This window comes from Homo sapiens, chromosome 8 (genome assembly GCF_000001405.40).
Source record: "Homo sapiens chromosome 8, GRCh38.p14 Primary Assembly".
NCBI lineage: Eukaryota > Metazoa > Chordata > Mammalia > Primates > Hominidae > Homo > Homo sapiens.
In genome coordinates, this window is record NC_000008.11 from 133,260,565 (window position 1) to 133,280,826 (window position 20,262).

The window sequence follows — 20,262 nt, forward strand, 5'->3', positions numbered from 1 at the left end:
CTCTGCTTTCCCCCAAGTCTTTCACACAACTGGTCCAACCAAAGATTTACGGACACACCTCTGGCTTTATCTGCTGGTTAACAATTAACCACGTCCCACTGTTTTAATACACTTTTAATTTTTGGTCCTGGCCCCATACGGTTGGCTGTCCCTTCCCTTCCTCTCTGATAAAGGTTAATTATTAAGGATAATTCTGAACACTAATAAAAAAGGATATCTATTTATAAATGCCAAGAAGGCCCCTTCTGGAAGACTTTAAGCCCAAGAACCTGCTCCTGCCCTAGTTTAAACACAGGTCAGGTGCAGGGACAAGAGGGGTTATCTCTGAGGTCTGCCACCCCCACATGATGCTGATTGGGGGATCCAACAAGCTTGACCATAATTGCACAAGGGGAAATTGAAAGGCCATGCCCATACAGATCACGAGCTGACAAGGGCCAGGCAGTGCAAATACTCTCAACTAAGGCAGCCTGATGTTCCAAAGAGGATACACGTCTCAGTAGATAGGATCAAAGCCAACTCCCCAGTCATCAGCTGTGCAACCTTTTTTTCTTTTTTGGAGACAGAGTCTTGCTCTGTCACCCAGGCTGGAGTGCAGTGGTGCGATCTTGGCTCACTGTAACCTCTGCCTCCCAGGTTCAAGGGATTATCTGGCCTAAGCCTCCCGAGTAGCAGGGATTATAGCCACCCGCCACCACGCCCAGCTCATTTTTGTATTTTTAGTGGAGACAGGGTTTCATCACGTTGGCCGGAGACAGGGTTTCACCATGTTGGCCAGGCTGGTCTCAAACTCCCAACCTCGGTGGTCCGCCCACCTTGGCCTCCCAAAGTGCTGAGATTACAGGCATGAACCACCATGCCCGGCCTCAGCTGTGCAACCTTCAGCAAGGTAGTTAATGCCTCCATGCCTCAATATGTTTGTCTGGAAAATGGAGCTAACAACAGCAGCCACACAGAGCTAGCTGTAAGGATTAAGCCCAGTGTTAGACACAAATGATGAAGCCTAGCCCACAGGAAGGGCTCCATCAATGTTACTTCTCTCCCTCTCTGTTTCTCCCCAGACTTCTAGGTTTTTCTTCACACTATTTGGTGGTGTCAAGTCCTCCTCCACTGAAGTCCTGTCCAGGCTGAGCACACCTATCGTAACGCCAGCCTTGCAGGAAGGCTGGGGGAATGGGGAGATAGTATCTGATAAGTATGTTGTTTCAGTTTGGGAAGATGAAAAAGTCCTGGAGATGGATGGTGGTGACGGCTGCACAACAATGTCTGCATGTCCTTAATGCCACTGAACTATATACTTAAAAATAGTGAAAGTGCTAACTTTTATGTTATGTATCTTTTCCCACAATTTAAAAAGTGCTTAAGATGATACGTTTTATATTTTACCACAGTTAAAAAGTATTTAAAAGAGCAAAGCACCTGAACCCCTCCCCGACACCCAGTTTCCACCCTGTAGAGCTCATAGGGCAAGAGGCCTCTCACCCTGCGGGGAAGGAGGCTGCGCCGTCCTGCTGGCCAGGGGCGTCCACGTGGCAGACGGCAAAGTGCTGGGTGATCTCCTGCATGTCCTCGTAGTTGAAGAGGGGGTTGTAGCAGGTTTTGTCTGAAGAACAGCAGTGAGGGAGAGAAGAGAAAAAAGTAAGATGAGAAAAAAATTAGGTGTCTCGGTGGCAAAGCACATTCATTTTGTTTCATTCCTATTCAGAAGTAGGAAGTGAACTTAGAAGAACACAGATGTTGGCGTTTTTTGTTTTTTGGTTTTGTCCCCATGCCCACTTTCCTCTGCTGATAAAAAGCAAGAGTAAGTTTCATGGGGCAAGGGAGTGGTAGCTGGCAGATGAGTCTTGCAGTTGGTGCTGGAAGGGGTTCCCAGGCTGGCTCCTGTAGCTCCTCCAGTCAGCCAGGGTCAGGATGGCCCTGGCATGAGATGGCTTTGCCCTCCTGATCCTCTCTTTCCATCTGGGTCCACTATACCCTCCCATCTGGGGTACTGGTCCAGGACACACATAATTTTCAAACGAGGAGGAGCATGGGAGGTGAGGCGTGCCTCCTCCTTTCATGTGGCCTGGATGAGTCTCCTCACTGCTGAAGCCTAAGGAAGTCGGGCTGCTCACCCTACCTCCTGTCCCTTTTCCTCCTGGGCACTCAGCTAGACGGTATATCCCAAGCTCCCTTGCAATGAGAGGCAGCCATGTGATCTGTTTCTGGCCGATAGCCTGTGACCGTCACCATTTCCTCACCATACCTGCCACCCAGATTCTCTAAGATCCTCTAAGTTTCTCTCTTCTCTCATCTACCTGCCAGAAGCACAGTTTCCAGCAGAAGGCTCTGCAGCCCCAGGGGATGGCAAACCCACAAGCTAGAAGGAGCCTGGGTCCTTGAATTGCCAAATAGAACATGTCCCACTAAACACCCACTAAACTGTTACATGAGCGAGAAATAAAACATATACTGTGTTAAGCCACAGAGGGCTTGGCATCTTTTGTTACAGTGGTAAGCCTATTATAAACCAACAATGAGCCTCTCCGAATGGGGAGAGACGCTGCCATATGCAATTCCAGTTCCTTGTCAGAGTCAATAAAATGAGATAGTGTAAATCAAAATACCTAGCATGGACCTGGTACAAAATGGATATAAGGGAAACAGACAGGGGAAGAAGTGAGATAAAAGAAGGTGAGAATGAAGTGAAAAAGTGTTTTCAGTGGATTTCAGTGACACCATCCCCAGCCTCAAGGTATTAATAAGGTATTAATAAGCTTTATAGAAACAAATGAAAATCAGGCAGTCCATCGTCAAAAATCAAGCAAGCTTGCAATACTCAAGTTCATAAAAATTACGGGACCAGTGAAACCTGTGTCTTCTGATTCCTCACAGAAGAATTCACCTCTATTCCATGAAATTTCAACATTCAGTAGCTTCCATTCCATTCTCATCTATGAAAAATGGGGAACCCACCTAAGAAAACCCTCCTGGTAATCTTGGAATTCACAGTCTAAACATTCGTAGCAGAGTTACTCACACAGCCAAAAAGTGAAAATGCCCCAAATGCCCATCAACTGAAGAATAGATGGCCGGGCCCAATGGCTCATGCCTGTAATCCCAGCACTTTGGGAGGTGGAGGTGGGTGGATCACCTGAGGTCAGGAGTTCGAGGTCAGCCTGGCCAACACAGTGAAACCCCGTCTCTACTAAAAATACAAAAATTAGTCAGGCGTGGTGGTGGGTGCCCGTAATCCCAGGTACTTGGGAGGCTGAGGCAAAAGAATTGCTTGAACCCAGTAGGTGGAGATTGCAGTGAGCCACGATCGCACCACTGCACTCCAGCCTGGGCAACAGAGCGAGATTCTGTCTCAGAAAAAAAAAAAAAAAGAAAGAAAGAAAAAGAAAAAAGAACGAATAAAGTGTGGTAAATCCATACAATGGAATATTATTATTCAATAAAGGAATAAAGGAAATACAAATATTAATGCATGGCCTGGATAAACCTTGAAAGCACTAAGAAAGAAGCCAGTTACCAAAAAAAAATCACATATTATTTGATTCAATGTATACAAAATTCCAGAACAGGCAAATTCACAGAAAAGGAAAGTCAATGAAGGGTCAGTCATCTGAGGGTGGGGTGACAGATAAAAGGTACAGGATTTTTTGGAAGGATGAAAATGTTCCAAAATTGTGCTGATCGTTGCACAATTCTGTGAAAAGACTGAAAACCATATGCGTGCATTAATATAGAAGTCACTGCCACAGATAGCAAACAGCTTCCTGTGTTCCCAGCGCCTCCGGGCACACAGACAACTCCGTGCCCACATGCAGCGCATTTCTGGCTTTTCCAGGCTGTGGCAAGAGTTCTTCCCAGAACAGCCCCAGGAAGTCCCAGGCAAAAAGAAACCACCAGCTCCCGGCCATCAGCCCTTCTCGGCTGCCTTTTTCCGCCACTCTCTTGGGAACCGGCTGACAGGGAATCAGAGCTCCTCAGAACTTACGGTTCATGCCGATGTCATGGTAGGTGAGGATGACAGGCCGGTTTCCCTTGGGAGTCCCACACAGCGTGACGTGAACAGAGCCATGTAAAGTCTCGATGTCCTGCTCCTGAGGAGACACAGCAGACAGTGGGCTGGTCATGTGGGGTTCATGGCATCCGCGTGGCTGAAGACAGCCAGCCTGTTTCCAACTGTGTTTTGAGGAAGCTCTCTTCTCATCTGGCCATAAGAGCCCCGGCTTCGGGCAGCAGCTCTCTCTGGCCAGAAGCCACTCCAAGGACCAGGGCTAGGAGGGGACTCCCAGGAGGCAGGGGACAGAGGCCTGGCTCAGACTGCGCTGTTAAATGCACCAAATGCTGGGGAAAGGGCTTGCCCGCCACCATCTCTGCCCCGGACTGTTTGCTCCATCTGGAAAACAGGCCATCAAGCCTGCGCTTCCTTGCTTCCTTGCCCTCAGGCCCCACTGGCCCCACAGGTTACTGTACCTGTGACTAACATCTGCTGGCTTGGGGCTACACAGAATTCACTCCCCACTTCCAAGAACAGCCCTCAGTTTCCTTCAGGAACCCACCCAACCCTCACCCTCAGTCCTAAGTGTTCTGTTGACAGTGACCCCCCTCCCCACGTTTCACAAGTCAAGGCCAATTCATGCACTCCACCTCCCAGTTGCAAGGACTGGATCAGGAAAGAACACATGGGTTGGCTCAGGCCAACTAAAGCCAGCTGCACTTATTTCTAGTAATTGGGGAACTGGATCGGACTTGATGGAGCAAGGTTGGGAGGGCTGGATCTGTAGCAGCCACATTGTCACCGTGAGGCAAGGGCCTGCCTGAAAGTATGGCCAGCCCAGGGATGGAAAAGAGTGAAAGACGGTTTGGGGATGGCATCCACCACCTGGGATTTTCAGTTACACGGCCCACCAACTTCCAATCCCATGTAAGCCATGTTGAGTTGACCAAAAGATTCTGAATGATACCATGCCCATCCTCCCTCCTGCCCTTCCTTCTTGTTGAGCCAGATGGTTCTCTGGGTCAAGGCCAACTCTCCAGCTCGGCCAGTGACCCCCAGCCAGCTTACTCCCAGTCATCCCTGCACCTCTCCGCACCAAACCTTCCTAACAGCTGAAGACCTGCTCACCTTTCTTCCTCTGGAAAACAAAAAAAAAAGGCACCCTGCCTTGGTTCCAAGCACCCCAGCTCACTCATGGACCAATCTGTCACCTGCCATGTTCATCTAAACTCCTGCAGAGGGTGGTCGTGACTCTTTCTCAATTGTCACTTCCACTCACCCTTCACCCCATGCCTACCCTGGGCTTCCGCCCTCCTCAAGGTCAACCAGAAGTTCCCGAGGACCCCAGTCACTCATCTCCCTTGAGCAATTTCCACATCTGAGAGCAGTGACCTCCCCTTTGAAGTGCCCCACTCTGGGCTCTGCTCCCACAGGGCAGTTGGGGAGCAGGAGGCAAGGCCATCAGGCTGCTGAGACCTGCCAGGTGTCAAGGCAGTGCTGAACCATGTCCCTCCATGTCCTCACCCTCACAGGAGCCCTGCCAGAGCCATGTGACCCAGCTGGCTGAGGAAGTGAAGTCAGTATCCCAGAGTCACACGGGCAGGCAGCACAGAGGCAGGTCCCCCAGACAATCAGCCTCCGCGGGGCCCCAGGCTTCTCAGCACTTGACCCGCCCGCAAGCGGCGCACACTCAGGCCTCACGAGGCCACCTCAGCTCAGCACGCTGCATTGATTTTCCAAAGATTAAATGAGGCAGTGAAGTGGAACACAGAACACTCTAAATGCTGTTGAACCTGCTTCTAGAAGCTGGCAGAAATGCGACCCATACAGATCACTGCCGTGTGGCAGCAGAGAGGAAGGTCAGCGTTCACAAACTCACGCTTGAGAAGAAGGGATGGGACAGATCACCACTTAGGCACCCTGTGGGGGCAAGTCACCTCCTCCCCAGCTTGAATCTTTAAAACAGGAACAGCCTGGCCCTTCCTACCTCCTAGAGGTGCTGAAGGCCCAGAGAATGTAGGCTGCTCCATCTGTGAGTGACCCCCCGTGAAGTGGTACGAGGCAGCCACCCCCACGCCATCCACACCCGCTGGTGATCGGATTCCACCTCTGCTACTTCTTACCCCTGATACTTAAGGCAGTTCAATTTCATCTGAGAAACATTCATTAGGCACCTATTGTATGCCAGGTCCCCTTTGTCCCCGCAGGGACGAGTGGGTGACAACTCACAAGCTAGTGGGGGCAGTGGAAATGGCCCCGGGGGGCTGCAGTTCCTCTGGGTCCTCTGAGAAAGGAGAAAGAGGATTTAACCCACTGGGGGGTTGCTGGGAATGGGACCAGGAAAGCCTCCTGAATCCCTTAAGACCAACGATTCTCAACCTGAGGAACAAGTTCAAAAATAAAGAAAAATGGCATCCAATTCCCAGGTTCCCCCGCAGCGTATGAAAGCTCCGTACTGAGTTTCCAACAAGAACTCACCACCTCCCCCTCCCCAGCGGAGGAGTGCAGGGGTTCCCGACACTCACTTGGAGAACCCCGAAGCCAGCCAGCCCCAGGCCACCATCGTGCTTCTGCAGAAAGGAGACAAGCACCCCAGCTCACTCATGGACCAATCTCTCACCTGCCATGTTCATCTAAACTCCTGCAGAGGGTGGTCGTGACTCTTTCTCAATTGCCACTTCACTCGCCTGCCCTGGGTTTCCGCCCTCCTCAAGGTTACCTAAAAGTTCCCTGTTCCTGAATGGCACAGGGACGCAGCAGTGGTTACCAGGTGAGGGTGGTGACACATAAAGAGGCACTGTACAGGGCCAGGCCCAGCCCCCTGGGAGCACCCGGGCCCGCCCAGCACGGGGTCATCCTGGCACCTGCATTAGCCCCCAACACCGTTAAGTCCCCTGGCACACAGAGCTCAGCCCCATCTCCCTTCTCCCCTCTCTGCCCCTCAGGGCCCAACACTTCTTTCCTGCCCATAACAGGCACTGGAAAAATCCATAGATGAGGGAGCAGTGGCCCAGCTTCCAGGGGGCCGGAGATCATCTGCTGGGCCCAGCCCAGCCCTGAAGCCACTGTGGGAACAAAGGTCCATTTGTTTGTGGGGGCACATTCTTCATTGTCTCCCCAGCTGACCCACATGGCTCCCTCTAAAAGACAGGCCAGGGCAGGCGGTGTCCCCACCGCCACGGACATCGGAGTTCAAATCCAAGTCCTACCACTCCCCAACCTCCGAGCCTCCAGGTCCTCACCCCTGAGCTGGGAGGGCCGCCTGCACCCCAGACTCCATAGCAGGAGAGGAGTCACCTGCACGGAGCCCAGAGCACAGCACCAGGCAGGATGGGGACTCCCGGTGCAGGCAGCAGAGGGTACTAATGTGGCAGCAGGTATGGGACACGCCACCCCAGCTGGCATCAAGAATGTCCCTGGCAGCCCCCGGAGTTGCGAGTGGGTAGCAGATTTTTGACTCATCTCTTTGAAGGTCTTAAAATTATACAGCCATGGAACCAGAACTAAACTGGAGGATCTATTCCTCAGTCCAAGAAGGAAAGGCTGCCTAGGTCTCACTCACTTTCTGTCCACAGGCCTCTGCATAGCTGCCTGCTCTCAGTGGGCACCCGGTATCTGCTGGATAAGAGATCTGATCCCGACAGATGATGGTGAGCATTACACCCTAGAAAGGAACTTTCTCTCCTAAGGGCATCGATCCATGTTGGGATCTTCCCCACTCTGCTCTTGGATTGGCCATGAGATGCTCAGCTCCCTCCTGATAAGACCCCCAGGGTTGGTGAGAGCCTCACAGAGCACTAACACTTCACCCCAGCTCATGAGTGTCAGGACCCTGGCTGCTGCCTCATCACTGCCCCAAACCTCAGCCTGAGCAGGACTCAAAAAAGAGGCTTTCGACATTGCTAGCCTTGGTGGGAAGGACAAAGACCCCGTCTGAGAACATGGAAGTGAAGTGGTGAAGGTCACACAGGGGCAGGGCTGCTTCCCAGGCATAGGTGAGCAGAGGTGAGGGAGAACATTTGCTAAGCGCCTACGAAGAGTAAGGCAGGGTATCAGACCTCCATGCCACCGGGAGGCCCATCAATCCCATTTTATAGGTAAAGAAGTTGAAGGGACTCTCCCAAGGTCATAGGTTTGTGGTGGTAGAACTAGGATTCGAACTCTCTCCGCTGGGCCCTTGCTCCTTTGTGCCAGGGTCTGCTGGCCCCCATCGGTCCTCCACTCAGTTCCTGGCCCCCCAGCACACACAGGAGGAGGAGGAAAAAAGCAAGTGTTGTCATCTTCCCTGTACCCAAGTCCCATCCCCTAAGTCACACACACACACACACACACACACAACAAACACACCCACCAACAAACACACGTGCACGCACGCGGTTCTAAGCCAGTCAAGAAGACTGTCTGAGATTGAATGGGAGAATTACAACACTCACAAACACAGGCCTTTGTCCTATTCAGTCCCAAAGGAATGTTCTGTCCTTCTGTCCCTGCGGGGATCAATCACTCAGTGTTCTGGAGAGAGGAACCCATCCCGTGTCTTCTATGTTTTCCCAAAGAGAAAGCACAAGGAACCCAGAACATCAGAACTGCAAGGTGCACTGTTCGTCCTCTTGCCTGAGAGAGCAAATTGCCTGTCTCGAAGCTCATGAGGGACCCCCCAACTTCTGGCTGGGACAAGGCTGGCAACACAAACACAACTCCTCCACCATCCAGAGCCCCACACCCAGCTCTTCCACAGTTCAGGACCAGGCCACAGAAGACCCTGCTCACAGGGCCTGATCCAGACAAGAGGATGAAAAGACAAAAACCTGGCTGCACACACTTTCCTCTCACCTGCTCTGGAAGAGTCTAGAAAGCTGCTCTTTCAAGTCTAGAGGTGATGGCAGGGATGGGGGCAGTAATAAACAGCCACTGCATCTTACCCCATGCCTGCTTTGAGTTTCTCACACGTGTTTTCTCATTAAATACACGGAACAACCATTGCAGAGATGAGAAAGCTGAGGCTGAGAGAGATTAAGGACTTCATCCAAGGCCACACAGCTGGAATAATGGGGCAGGATCTGAACCAAGCTTGGATTCGAATGTCTGCATCCAAAGCCTGTTCTCTTTAACATCCTGTTTCACATTCTGTGCCGGGCAGAAGAGGGGAAGGAAACCTTTCTCTGCAACGTGCACTGTGACTCCCTAAAGGGGATGCAGCAAGTCAGATTTCCCACACTTATTTGACTGCAAAACACTCGTACCTCCCCAGCGTCTCCAAGGACTGGCCATCCATGCAGCACAGGCTGTTCCACTACCAAACAGAATCGAGAAATAATATCTGCTGCTCCCATCCTCCTAAAACAGGCACCTGCCCCCAAACTGCACGCATGTGTGTCTTTGTGAGGAAGTGTGCCAACACTGGAAACACCTCAGCACAGACATGAGACGTCACCTCCTCCTTCCTGCTACCCACCATACACATGCCATGCAAACCCTGTTCTCTTCTTTGCAGCACGACCACAATTACAAATATATGTGTAACAGCTGCCTCCCCAGCCAGGCCGCCAATTCCCAGAGGGAAAGGCTGGCTCTCCAATTGACAGAGTCTGGCCCGGAGGGTACACTTAGAGATTTACAGTCTACACTGCCTATATGCTGGCAAGTAGCAACCATGGCACGTACCACTATGGTCTACACCGCCTGGAAGCTGTCAAGTGGGGAAACAGGACCTAACACCAAGCATGCCTTAAAGATTTCATCTCTTTGGCTGTCAACCCTGGCTTGGGAGCTTTAAAACTATGGCAGACTCTGTTGGTTGGCATCCCAAACATCTGTTGTTCCCTTCTTTTTGAGGATAGAATTCCAACTGATGTACTAAGCAGCAAAGTGCCTGATAAAGTGGTCCCCTTCCTTACTCACCTCCCTTGTAACCAAAGATGGTCAGGAGGTTCAGTTCTGGCCAATGAAATGCCAGCAGAAAATTCCTGTAGCTTCAAGGAGAGTTTTTTAAAAAGGGTCAAACTTGACCTTTTGATTCTTGTCCTTTCACCCTCCTGCCTGCATCCTACTTGGAACATGGATGAGATGCTTGGGGGTTCGGTGGCTATCCTACCAATCTGAGGACCAAAGCCGCATGCTCAGGTGACAGTAGGAAGCTGTAAGGACTAACTCCAGCTGGGCTGGGTGACATTCATAGCTGGGGTGTTAGCTTTCTAGGTTGGTGAGAATAGCAAACATTTCCTTGGCACAGCACTGTTTTTTGAGCAATACTTATCCTAATGATATAACCACCACGTGCCCTTGGCCAAGTTATCAGCCTTCTCTGACAATCCCTGCCATCAGTTGTAAGCTGAGGTCAATGACAAGGCCTCCTGCTCCATTAAGATGCTCCCAAGACTAAAACCATGGTACAGACCTGAATGTGTTTTGCAAGCTGCAGCATTTCCCTCCATGTCAGTTGTTATGGACAACCGCTCCAGAGATGATTAGTGTGAAGCTCCCAGGGCCAGCCCCACTGGCTTAAGTCAACTCTCTGGATGATCCGGAGGGGCTCTGGAGGCCAGCTGTGACTGTCTCCCCGCTGCCCCTGGTAATCCCCTCCTTCCCAGCAGGCCCTGGGCAGATGCCGACCGTTCTAGGCTCTAAGAGGATCACCGCATACCCAGGATCTAAGTCAGTTGGTGGGCTTGGTGACCCTCCCTCAGTCTAGCAAGTGGGGTCCAAGCATGGCCAGAGCAGTTACGGTGCCCTCTGGAACAGCTGTCCAGGAAGCTGACTATGGCTCATCAGCATAAAGTCAAGGCCCATGGCAGCAAGAAAGGCAAATCATGGGAACAGAGGCTCAAGAGAGAATGTCAGGGGCCTGCCCCCTCCCCACCATCTTTTCATAAAATGATACACTCCTCCCCCTATATTTTCCTGGTTCATCGCCTATGCCCATGGAGGAGGAGGTGGAGACACAGCAGTGCCATTCATCTTAATGATCCATTCCATTAAGTAACAAACATAGGCTAGGTGTGATGGCTCACACCTGTAACTTTGAGTTTGAGACCAGCATCTGCAACATAATGAGACCTCCTTTCTACAAAAAATAAAATTAGCCAGGCATGGTGGCTCACGCCTATAGTCCCAACTACTAGGGAGGCTGAGGTAGGAGGATCACTTGAGCCCAGGAGGTCACAGTTGCAGTGAGCCGAGATCACACTACTACACTCCAGCATGGGCAACAAAGGGAGACCCTGTCTAAAAAAAAAAAAAAAAAAAAAAAAAAAAGGAGTAAAGAACACATAAAGTACCAGAGATAACCAGGGGAGGTGTGTGTGTAGCCAGGAGGAACACGATAAAAAGACAGCCACCCACTTACTGAGCAAGTCTGATAAAGCCAGCTTTGTCTCCTGTGCTATATCATGACAGCCATTGAACAGCCTTTGGGGCTGAAGTATAGGTGCCCAATGAGATAACAGAATTAAGATTCAAGATAGATAGGTCCTTGGGCTTCCAAAGCCAAGACTCCCCTGCAAGCCTCACACAATGGAAGACCTTCAAGAGGTCAAGCTGGGCCTGTCACTTCTCGCTTCATTCCCCAGTCTTCTTTTATGTTGACATCAGGTCAAGAGAATTAAACAAAGTTACAGAGGGTCAGGGAACAGGCTGCAGTGGGCAGAAGGTGTCAGCCTGGGAATACAGCATGCAACTGGAACCCACGCTGAAGACCTCAGTTCTCCAAGGAAACAAGAATTAGGAAGAACATCTTTGTTTGGATTAGGGTGAAGAGATGGAGCAGACCCCATCATCCATGGAGCAGGGGAGGGCGACAAAGACCTGTGAGCTGAGCCCGCTGCTGTGTGCATTCAGTGTTTGCAATGTGCTCAGGGACAGCGATGCTCCCCACTGTTTCACAGATTAGGAAACTAAGCCCCAGGGAGGTCAAGCGAGTGGCCAAGGACACGCGAGTAGCAAATGACAGGGCTGGGTCTGCACTCGCTGCCGCTCACTGCACCCTTTCTGGGACACCAGGAGATGAGTGAGGTCAGCCTGGCAGAGCCTGGCCTGGACACACCTCGGAGGCCTGGGTATGAGCCCCACCTCTCCTGTTCCATTGGAGGGTGCTCCTAGGAAACCCACAGCAGAATTGCAGAAGTATGCTGTGTTTATTTTCCAAAGTCTCATTTTGTGCTGATCCAGATGAGCGTTCCTGCCATCTGTCACTCTAAGGGTTTGCTCTAAGTCCCAATGGCTTTGCTAGGAAGTAGGGCTGGGGGAGGGCGAGAATGGGAAATGGTGAGTTTAGGATTTCCAGGCTTCTGTCTGAGTTCTGCCCACCTTCAGTCATGGGGCATGAAAACAAGAAGCAACTGTGTGGAAAGAGAGAAATTAGCAAAAGGTCACCATTTCCATTTTCCCTGTGAGCTGGTCCGCTTCCAAGAAAAGGAGGGAAAACAGCCCCCCCACCGAATGGGATTGTACATCCCTAAGACCAGCTCAGCTCTGCTGAACAAGAGGCCTTGCAGCAGAACGGGAGCCAGACCTCCAGAGCCCTGCCCGGCCCTGGTGCTGCCCCAGCCCCCTCCACCACTCCACACGGAGGCCCTGTGGGTCACATCAGCTCATTTCCCACAGAGCCCTGGTGAGCACACAAACACAGATTCCCATGGAAACCAAATCAAATCTAACCATCTGAATAACTCAAGATCCAGGTGGAGGGAATTAGAAGCAGCAAATCCAACAGAAAAAGCAATTTGAAGCCACAGAAAGTCACTCGGCCCACGAGGTACAATTTATCGGTGATGAAGTCAACTCTGCTGTCCCTTCCCCAAAACTCGTTAAATGAACTTTGGCTCCAGACGTGTGGATTGAATCAGCTTTCACCATCTATCTCACCATGGCGTGACACTGGGCAAATCCCTCCAGATTTTCTGGGCCTCGTATCTTCAACATAAAACAAGGATGGCAAGGATAGATGGCAAGGATACCTCCCTCAACAAGGTTTCATGAGGATCACATGAGCGGATGCAGGAAAATAGCCCAGCACGGTTTCTGACGTACAGCAGAGCTCAAGAGAGGCCAGCCATTACGACTTCCATGACTATAACATTTTTCGGAAGCAGATGGATCTAAGTCTAGGACTATCTCTACAGTACCCTTTGGCAAGTTCCCTAACATCTTCAAATGGGTCTCTCATCTGCAAAAGAGGCCAACACCCCTCACCTTAGCAGGGAAGCCCTGAGACAATGAGTATGCAAATATTCATTCTTCCTCCTCTTCCCTCCCCCAGGTGGCCTTCCACAAAGCTCTCCAACTGGAGCAGAAGTCTTGGACTCTAGAATTCTAGCCAAAGAAAATAAGCTGGAACCCAAAATACTCCCCCCCTCCCTACTCATCAAATCTGCAAACACAATTGCCTAAAACCTGATGCTGGAGGCCTCTCAGCCGAGCCAGATCAGACCGTGTCCTTCCTGCAACCCGGACACCTAGGCCAGCAGCCCGCCCACCCCGTGCCCTGAGGGTTCTGGAATCTTTTCAGGAACCAGAGCCAGGTGGGGGCCTGACAGCGCTGGCAGAACCTCATATGCAAATCACCAATCACTTTGCCCGAACATCACCCAGGACAAAACAAAGAGACCGCCTAAAGGCGATGCCAGTGATGGAGAGATAAGGCCTGATGCCATCTGCTCTGGCAGGCGAGCTGTCTCCAGAGACAGGCCACCCAGCAGCTCAATGCAGACTCCGCCAGCAGCTCCTCAGTGCCGAGCTCTGGGCTCAGTGTGTGTGTTTTGATTCATTTAAAAAACAAAAACAATAAAAGCCTAAATTATTGACTACATTGGTAAAGGAAGTAGGAATCTGCCTGAGTTAGTCAAAGTGCTGAAGCAGTAATTATTTTTCAAGGAATGACATCGGCTGCTTTCAGATACACAAAATAAAGCGACTCAGACTCCTTAGACTGGACCAGGAGGGAAGCTATGCCCAGGGCAAGAACTGCCCAGGAGGGAGCCCTATTTTAACAAGCAGGTAAGAAACCAACTAAATGAATAGATAAAATTCATTTGCCATTAAGGCACAGCAACTCTTGAGTCCTACAACAACTCATTGTCAGTAGGCTGAACATAAGCCCAATGAAGTGTTGCTTAGATTATCTGCTTGGCTAGATTTTTTGACAAGCAGACGTGTCAAAGGTGAACCACAATCTAGTCCATAAGGGCTTGATCAGCCTTTCCAGGAACAGGGCTATACTCAAGCATCACGGTTGAGAGAACTGTCTACGTCAGACAGCCCTGGGCTCAATGTGGCTCACTTCACAGCTGCCGCCCCTGGGAAAGCCTCAGTTTCCTTATCTGTAAAGGAAGGATGATGGTACAGGTCCCCAAAGATTCAGCAAGAGGGCGTGGGAGGCCCTCAGTGCTGGCCTGGCTCATCAGAGGACACTGAAGTGCATGGCAGACAGGTGCTGTCCTGTCGCTTTGCTGCAACTCCCATGTGAATCTGAGGTCAGATTATGCTGACCAGTCCCCGGGCTGATACGCCCTGTAGGCCCCCTTGACCAAAGCTCTGTCCTTCTCAGTTCCTGGCCCTGGAACCCATCAGGCCCCAGAGAGCTTCCGTCGTCACACTGCACTGCATCTTCTGAAGGAAATTCTACAGCAACCCTACACCCAAGATTTTGGAGACTGCTGAAAATCTGGGGGACGCTTTCATCAATCTCTTGAGTCCCTAACACCTTCCAATCTAAGAAGCCAAATCTAAATGAATACAGTTTTAGACAAAGATTTTCTTTTGGTAACAACCTTGAAAAGTGTCATTCAACACTCAGATTTCAGCTCAAATATTGTGACTTACTGGGAACACTGAGCCTGTTAACAGCTTACAGGAATAACACATTTTTGCCCTTGGAAATTTCAGAATTCAGATCAGAAAGGCCTTTGCTTGTGCTGTTACCTCTGCCTGGAATGATCTATCCCCAGTCTCTTTGTCACGTGACTGGCTCTATCTATCTTTTAGACTTCAGTGCAATGTCACCACTTAAAAAAAAGCCTCAACCTAAGACAGCACCCCAGCCATGCCCTATCCCATCACCTGGCTCCATATCACCCTTCACTGTTATCTTCAAAGCACCTACAGAAGCTGGAATGCTCACATTTGCTTGTTTGTATGTTTGTTTGACTCTTTCTTCTGAGGAATCGGGATTGGTTTCAAATATGTGCCCTGGAAGCAAATGGCTTGAGGTCCCCTTTCCAGCTCTGCGATCTCAGGCAAGTTCCCTAACCTCTCTGTGCTTCAGGTCCTCTCTCTCCGTAGGATGGGGACAGGATCGCCGTAAGCACACGTGGGGCACATTTGGCATGCTGCCAGACACATTCTGTGCTCGGCAGTGCTGAGCTATTATTCCAGAATTTAGGTTCCTGAAAACACAGGTCACTGCCTGTCATGCTCATCACTGCATCCCCAGCACCTAAACTAATGCCAGGCACAAAGTGGGCATTTGTTAAAGAAATAAAGGAAGGCACAATAGGGAAAATGCTCCGACCTCATAGGACAGCTTGGGGAATTAACTCAGACGGCTCAGCCCAGGCTGGTGCACAATGCTGGGAAATCTTATCCTGACCTCTGCTCTATCCTTCCAAAGGCTTCTCTGTGTGGCCCCCACTTTAATGATGTCCTAAGGGGCAGCGCCTTAGCCGACCCCAGCCTGAGCCACATAGGTTGACCTTCCCTGGGAGTAGGTCAGTTGCCTGTGTCCTGAGATGGGAGAATGTAAAAGTGTTTTGCAGACTTTCCAGAGAAACAAAAATGTGAGGAATTATCTTCGCAGGGAGCAGATAAACTATGCTTTCTAGGTTTCTCAGAATTGGTAACCAAGATTTTAAAATCCAAAATAACCATATGATCCAGTGATAGGGTTTGGCTGTGTCCCCACCCAAATCTCATCTTGAATTGTAGCTCCCATAATCCCCACGTGTCGTGGGAGGGAACCAGTGGGAGGTAATTGAATCATGGGGTCAGGTTTTGCCTGTGCTGTTCTCGTGATAGTGAATGAGTCTCAAGAGATCTCATGGTTTTATAAAGAGCAAGAGATCTCATGGTTTTATAAACGGCAGTTCCCCTGCACACACACACTCTTGCCTGCCGCCATGTAAGGCGTGCCTTGGTTCCTCCTTCACCTTCTGCCATGAATGTGAGGCCTCCCCAGCCATGTGAAACTGTGAGTCCATTAAACCTCTTTTTCTTTATAAATTACCCAGTTTCTGATATGTCCTTATAGCAGCTTGAGAATGGACTGATACCTCTAGCAATTCCACTTCTGGGTATATGTCCCCCAAAACTGAAAGCAGGATCTCAAAGAGATATCTGTACACATGTTCACAGCAGCAGTATTCACAATAGCCCAAAGTGCCCAAAGTGTCCACCAACGGACAAATGGATAAGCAAAATGTGGGGCATACATACAACAGAATATGATTCAGCCTTAAAAAGGAAGGAAATGCTGACACCTGCTACAACAGGGATGAACCCTGAGGACACGATGCTAACTTATACCAGCCAGACACTGGCAAAGAACAAATCAATGCAAATTAATACAGTTTTATAATAATAATATAGTGTATGACTGCACTTGTATGAGGTACTTAGAGGAATCAAAATCTAGAGTAATCAAAATCACAGAGACAGAAAATAGAAGGATGACTGCCTAAAGCTAGAATGAGGAGTTGTTTAATGGGACAGAGTTTCAGTTCTGCAGGTTTTAAAGTTCCAGGGGTACAGTGGCTCAAGCCTGTAATTCCAGCACTTTGGGAGGCTGAGGCAGGTAGATCACTTGAAGTCAGGAGTTCGAGACCAGACTGGCCAACATGGAAAAACCCATCTCTACTAAAAATACAAAAATTAGCCCGGTGTGGTGGCGGGCACCTGTAATCCCAGCCACTCAGGAGGCTGGGGCATGAGAATTGCTTGAACCCAGGAGGTAAAGAAAGGTTGCAGTGAGCCAAGATCGCACCACTACACTCCAGCCTGGATGACAGAGCAAGACTCTGTCTAAACAGAAATAAAAATAAATAAATACAGTTCTGAAAATGGACGATAGTGATGGTTGCACAGGAATATGAATGTACTTAATATGACGGAACTGTACATTTAAAAGTAGTTAAGTTGGTAAATTGGATGTTACGTGTATGTTTCCACAACAGCAAAAATAATTCGGGAAAACACTCCATGATAGTTAGTGGATAGGGTGTGTGATGTTTGGCCCGGCACTGATGCGGGAAGCACCACATCATTGGCCCTTGTCAGTGTCCTCTCTCCACCACCACTTAACAAGCCTGGAGCACTGTCTCCATTTCACAGGTGGGGAAACAGAGGTGAAGCATCTTGTGCTAAGGGTCAATCACCAGGAAAGGGCACCCATGGGGCTTGCGCTTCACTCTTCCTGGCTCTGGAATGGGGCCTTCACCTGAGGAGGATGGACAATCACATCCCCACTGCAGGAAGATACAACCTCAGTGCCAGCAAGCCGCTCCCCTGGGGAACACAAGGAGCTGACATTTCAGCCACAGGGAAGGTTGGCAAGGGCAGCTTCGATCAGGCTGAGGGAGGCTGGGGTGGCCCGGCCCATCCCTGAATGAGCAGATGACCCCTGGGGCTAACTTCCAGCTGTTCTCAGCTCAGAGAACCAGTCAAATAACCAAGGCCATGGTGCTGGTGCCACAGCCACTGCATCTATTGCAGCTCTGACTTCCCTGGGTGCATTTTTTCCCATTCTCAGGAGGGTGAAAAAGAGGATTGCTACCATAACTCTTAGCTGCCCCACCATGCCACCCTCAATGAGTGACTTCCCCCTTTCTCTGTCCCTCAGGTTCCCCAGCTGTAAAATGAAGGCTTGGACTTGATAAACCTCAAGATAGTACATTCACCTCCCACCCTCCTGGAGCACCTTCGCATGCCCAGCGTCCTGCAACATAGAGAGGAACGGGATGGAGCTCTGGCCAGGGCATGGGAGAAGCCTGGACCTCAGCACATGAGTGGTGCGGGAAGAACATGGGCTTCCTTCCTGGTCAGGCAGAGCTAGGTGTGGCTCCCAGTCCCTCCACTCTGGCCTCAGTATACCCATCTGAAAAATAAAGCTAATGGTGCCTCTCCTGTTATCATGAGATATTGAGGCATTACATGAGATATTGGCTGGCAAGCTCTCAGCACAGCACCTGGCAGGTAAGAAGCCCTCACCAACATCATTAAAACCTACACAAGCAGCAAGGGGAGCACTCAGGGCTGGAAGAGGTGAGGCCCAGAGTCTGGCACCACTTCCCCAATCACTGCTGAGTGACCCCAGGCAAGTCACTTCCCAGTGCTGTCTCTCTTCTTCTTTTTTTTTTTTTTTTTTTTGAGACAGAGTTTCACTCTTGTTGCCCAGGCTGGAGTGCAACGACGTGGTCTCAGCTCACTGCAACCTCTGCCTCCCAGGTTCAAGCAATTCTCCTGTCTCAGCCCCCAAGTAGCTGGGGTTATAGGTGCTTACCACCATGCCTGGCTAATTTTTGTATTTTTAGTAGAGACAGGGTTTCTCCTTGTTGGCCAGGCTGGCCTCGAGCTCCTGACCTCAGGTGATCTGCCTGCCTCGGCCTTCCAAAGTGCTAGGATTACAGGCATGAGCCACTGCATCTGGCCCTTCTTCTTAAACACTGAGGTCAGGGTGATCTCTAGGGACAGCCTGACACAACCAGGATGATGAGAAAATACACACCTTGGTGGTGGTATAGAAAGCCTCGATCATCTACTAGCCAATGCTTCCAGCCCCTCTCCCATCCTTTCCTTTCCTTCCAAAGACAGTGCAAGATTCCTCGCCTCGGGATGGATGGGGGAGCATTCATGAAATCAGAGATTCAAGAGGAAAAGCGGAGTTGTTTTGAGGTAAGGAGGTAGAATAGAGGAGTGAGATGCAGAGTGCAGAATGGGTCCCAAACTGGGGACACCTGTGCAACACATGGGTAGCGGTTCAGGTGAGAACACCTCAGCCACCTCTGGCTCTCTGGCTGGTCCAGGAGTGCGCCTCTCCTCCTTCAAGGAGACCACAAGCTCGCCATATGCTCAGGCTTTCTGCCCCACCCTCCAGAGGCCAGCACAGCATGGGACCCACCCCAGCTTGGGGCTAACGAGTCCAGGACTTAGATTTCCTGAAGTTCTGACCCAGCCCTCGGCTGAGAGAGCCCAGCCCGTTCTCCTGAGAGCCTATTCTTGGACACAGCTGAGGTGCACCCCCTGGCCCACCCTGCAATCCTGAGTGGGAATGGAGATACTTCAGTTCTGGGCCAGTAAACCACAGAGAAGGCTGGTTTCAGTTTCCCAAGTGGAGCCAAGAACATCAAGCTTTTGCTTCCGTTCCCTCCCCTCACAGGGTCCCAAGCCAGCCCAGCATCACACCATTTTCCCCACACACGCCCCACCGTTCTGGCCAGCTCTTTGGGACTGAAACAGGCGGTGTCTCTGTCCTGCTTTCGTGGGAAGTGACTGGTTCCTGATTCTTTGGCCAGCACTCAAGTCAGCTTCTGTCTGGGAGCAGCAGCTGAGGGTGAGGACCTAGCTGAGACCACTGCCTTCTCTCCCCTTGCCCGCAATGTTTGCACAATGATCTACTTAAACCAATGGAAAGAAAAAGGAAAAAGAGAAGACGGGATGAGGAAGGGGAAGGAAAGCCACATCCTCTACTTGCCTGGACATCAAACTCTTGCAGGAGGCCGGTGATGGTCTGTGAAAAGACAAAAAAAATTGTCAATTTCATCTGTTTTCTCTGTAAGAGAAATAATATTGGGACATATGGGCCTTTCTATGACCTGAATCTGTACCTACACTTCCTCCTTTGTGGGGTCTCCTTAATTCCTCACAAAGGCAGGCTTTCCTTTTCTCTTTTTTTTTTTTTTTTGAGACGGAGTCTTGCTCTGTCGCCCAGGTTAGAGTACAGTGGTGTGATCGCAGCTCACTGCAAGCTCCGCCTCCCAGGGTCACGCCATTCTCCTGCCTCAGCCTCCTGAGTAGCTGGGACTACAGGTGCCCGCCACCACGCCCAGTTATTTTTATTTTTATTTTTTGTATTTTTAGTAGAGACGGGATTTCACCATGTTAGCCAGGATGGTCTCGATTTCCTGACCTCATGATCCACCTGCCTCGGCCTCCCAAAGTGCTGGGGATTACAGGTGTGAGCCACTGTGCCCAGCCGAGACTTTCCTTTTCATCTCAAAATAGAAGTCCAGCAGAAAAGCAGACACATTAACTGGACTCCTTTCTGACAATAGCCTTGATAGATAAAA

The 20,262-nt window shown here is 50.4% G+C and overlaps 1 protein-coding gene across 8 annotated transcripts in view, besides 2 other annotated features; it reads right to left on the bottom strand.

Moving 5' to 3' along the window:
• NDRG1 (N-myc downstream regulated 1) overlaps nt 1-20,262 on the bottom strand; it is a 60,078-nt gene that overhangs the window by 23,390 nt on the left and 16,426 nt on the right. For 6 of the 8 annotated variants that reach the window (NM_001374847.1, NM_006096.4, NM_001374844.1 and 3 more), the window contains 3 exons: nt 19,668-19,703; nt 3,983-4,088; nt 1,483-1,603 (listed from right to left, as the gene is read on the bottom strand). In NM_001374847.1, the coding sequence (NP_001361776.1) occupies nt 1,483-1,603; nt 3,983-3,989 (128 nt within the window). In that variant the 5' untranslated portion in view covers nt 3,990-4,088; nt 19,668-19,703. The remainder of the gene's footprint in view (nt 1-1,482; nt 1,604-3,982; nt 4,089-19,667; nt 19,704-20,262) is intronic. The other 2 variants (NM_001258432.2, NM_001258433.2) reach the window with 2 other exon arrangements.
• Nucleotides 5,099-5,599: an enhancer, noted in NCBI's record as "H3K4me1 hESC enhancer chr8:134277906-134278406 (GRCh37/hg19 assembly coordinates)". NCBI's record gives its function as "activates a minimal SCP1, AML or CMV promoter by ChIP-STARR-seq in primed H9 embryonic stem cells {active_cell/tissue: H9 hESC(primed)}" and the evidence as "EXISTENCE:reporter gene assay evidence [ECO:0000049][PMID:30033119]".
• Nucleotides 5,202-5,496: a silencer, noted in NCBI's record as "tiled region #3770; K562 Repressive non-DNase unmatched - State 20:ReprD". NCBI's record gives its function as "represses a minimal TATA promoter and a strong SV40 promoter by Sharpr-MPRA in K562 cells {active_cell/tissue: K562}" and the evidence as "EXISTENCE:reporter gene assay evidence [ECO:0000049][PMID:27701403]".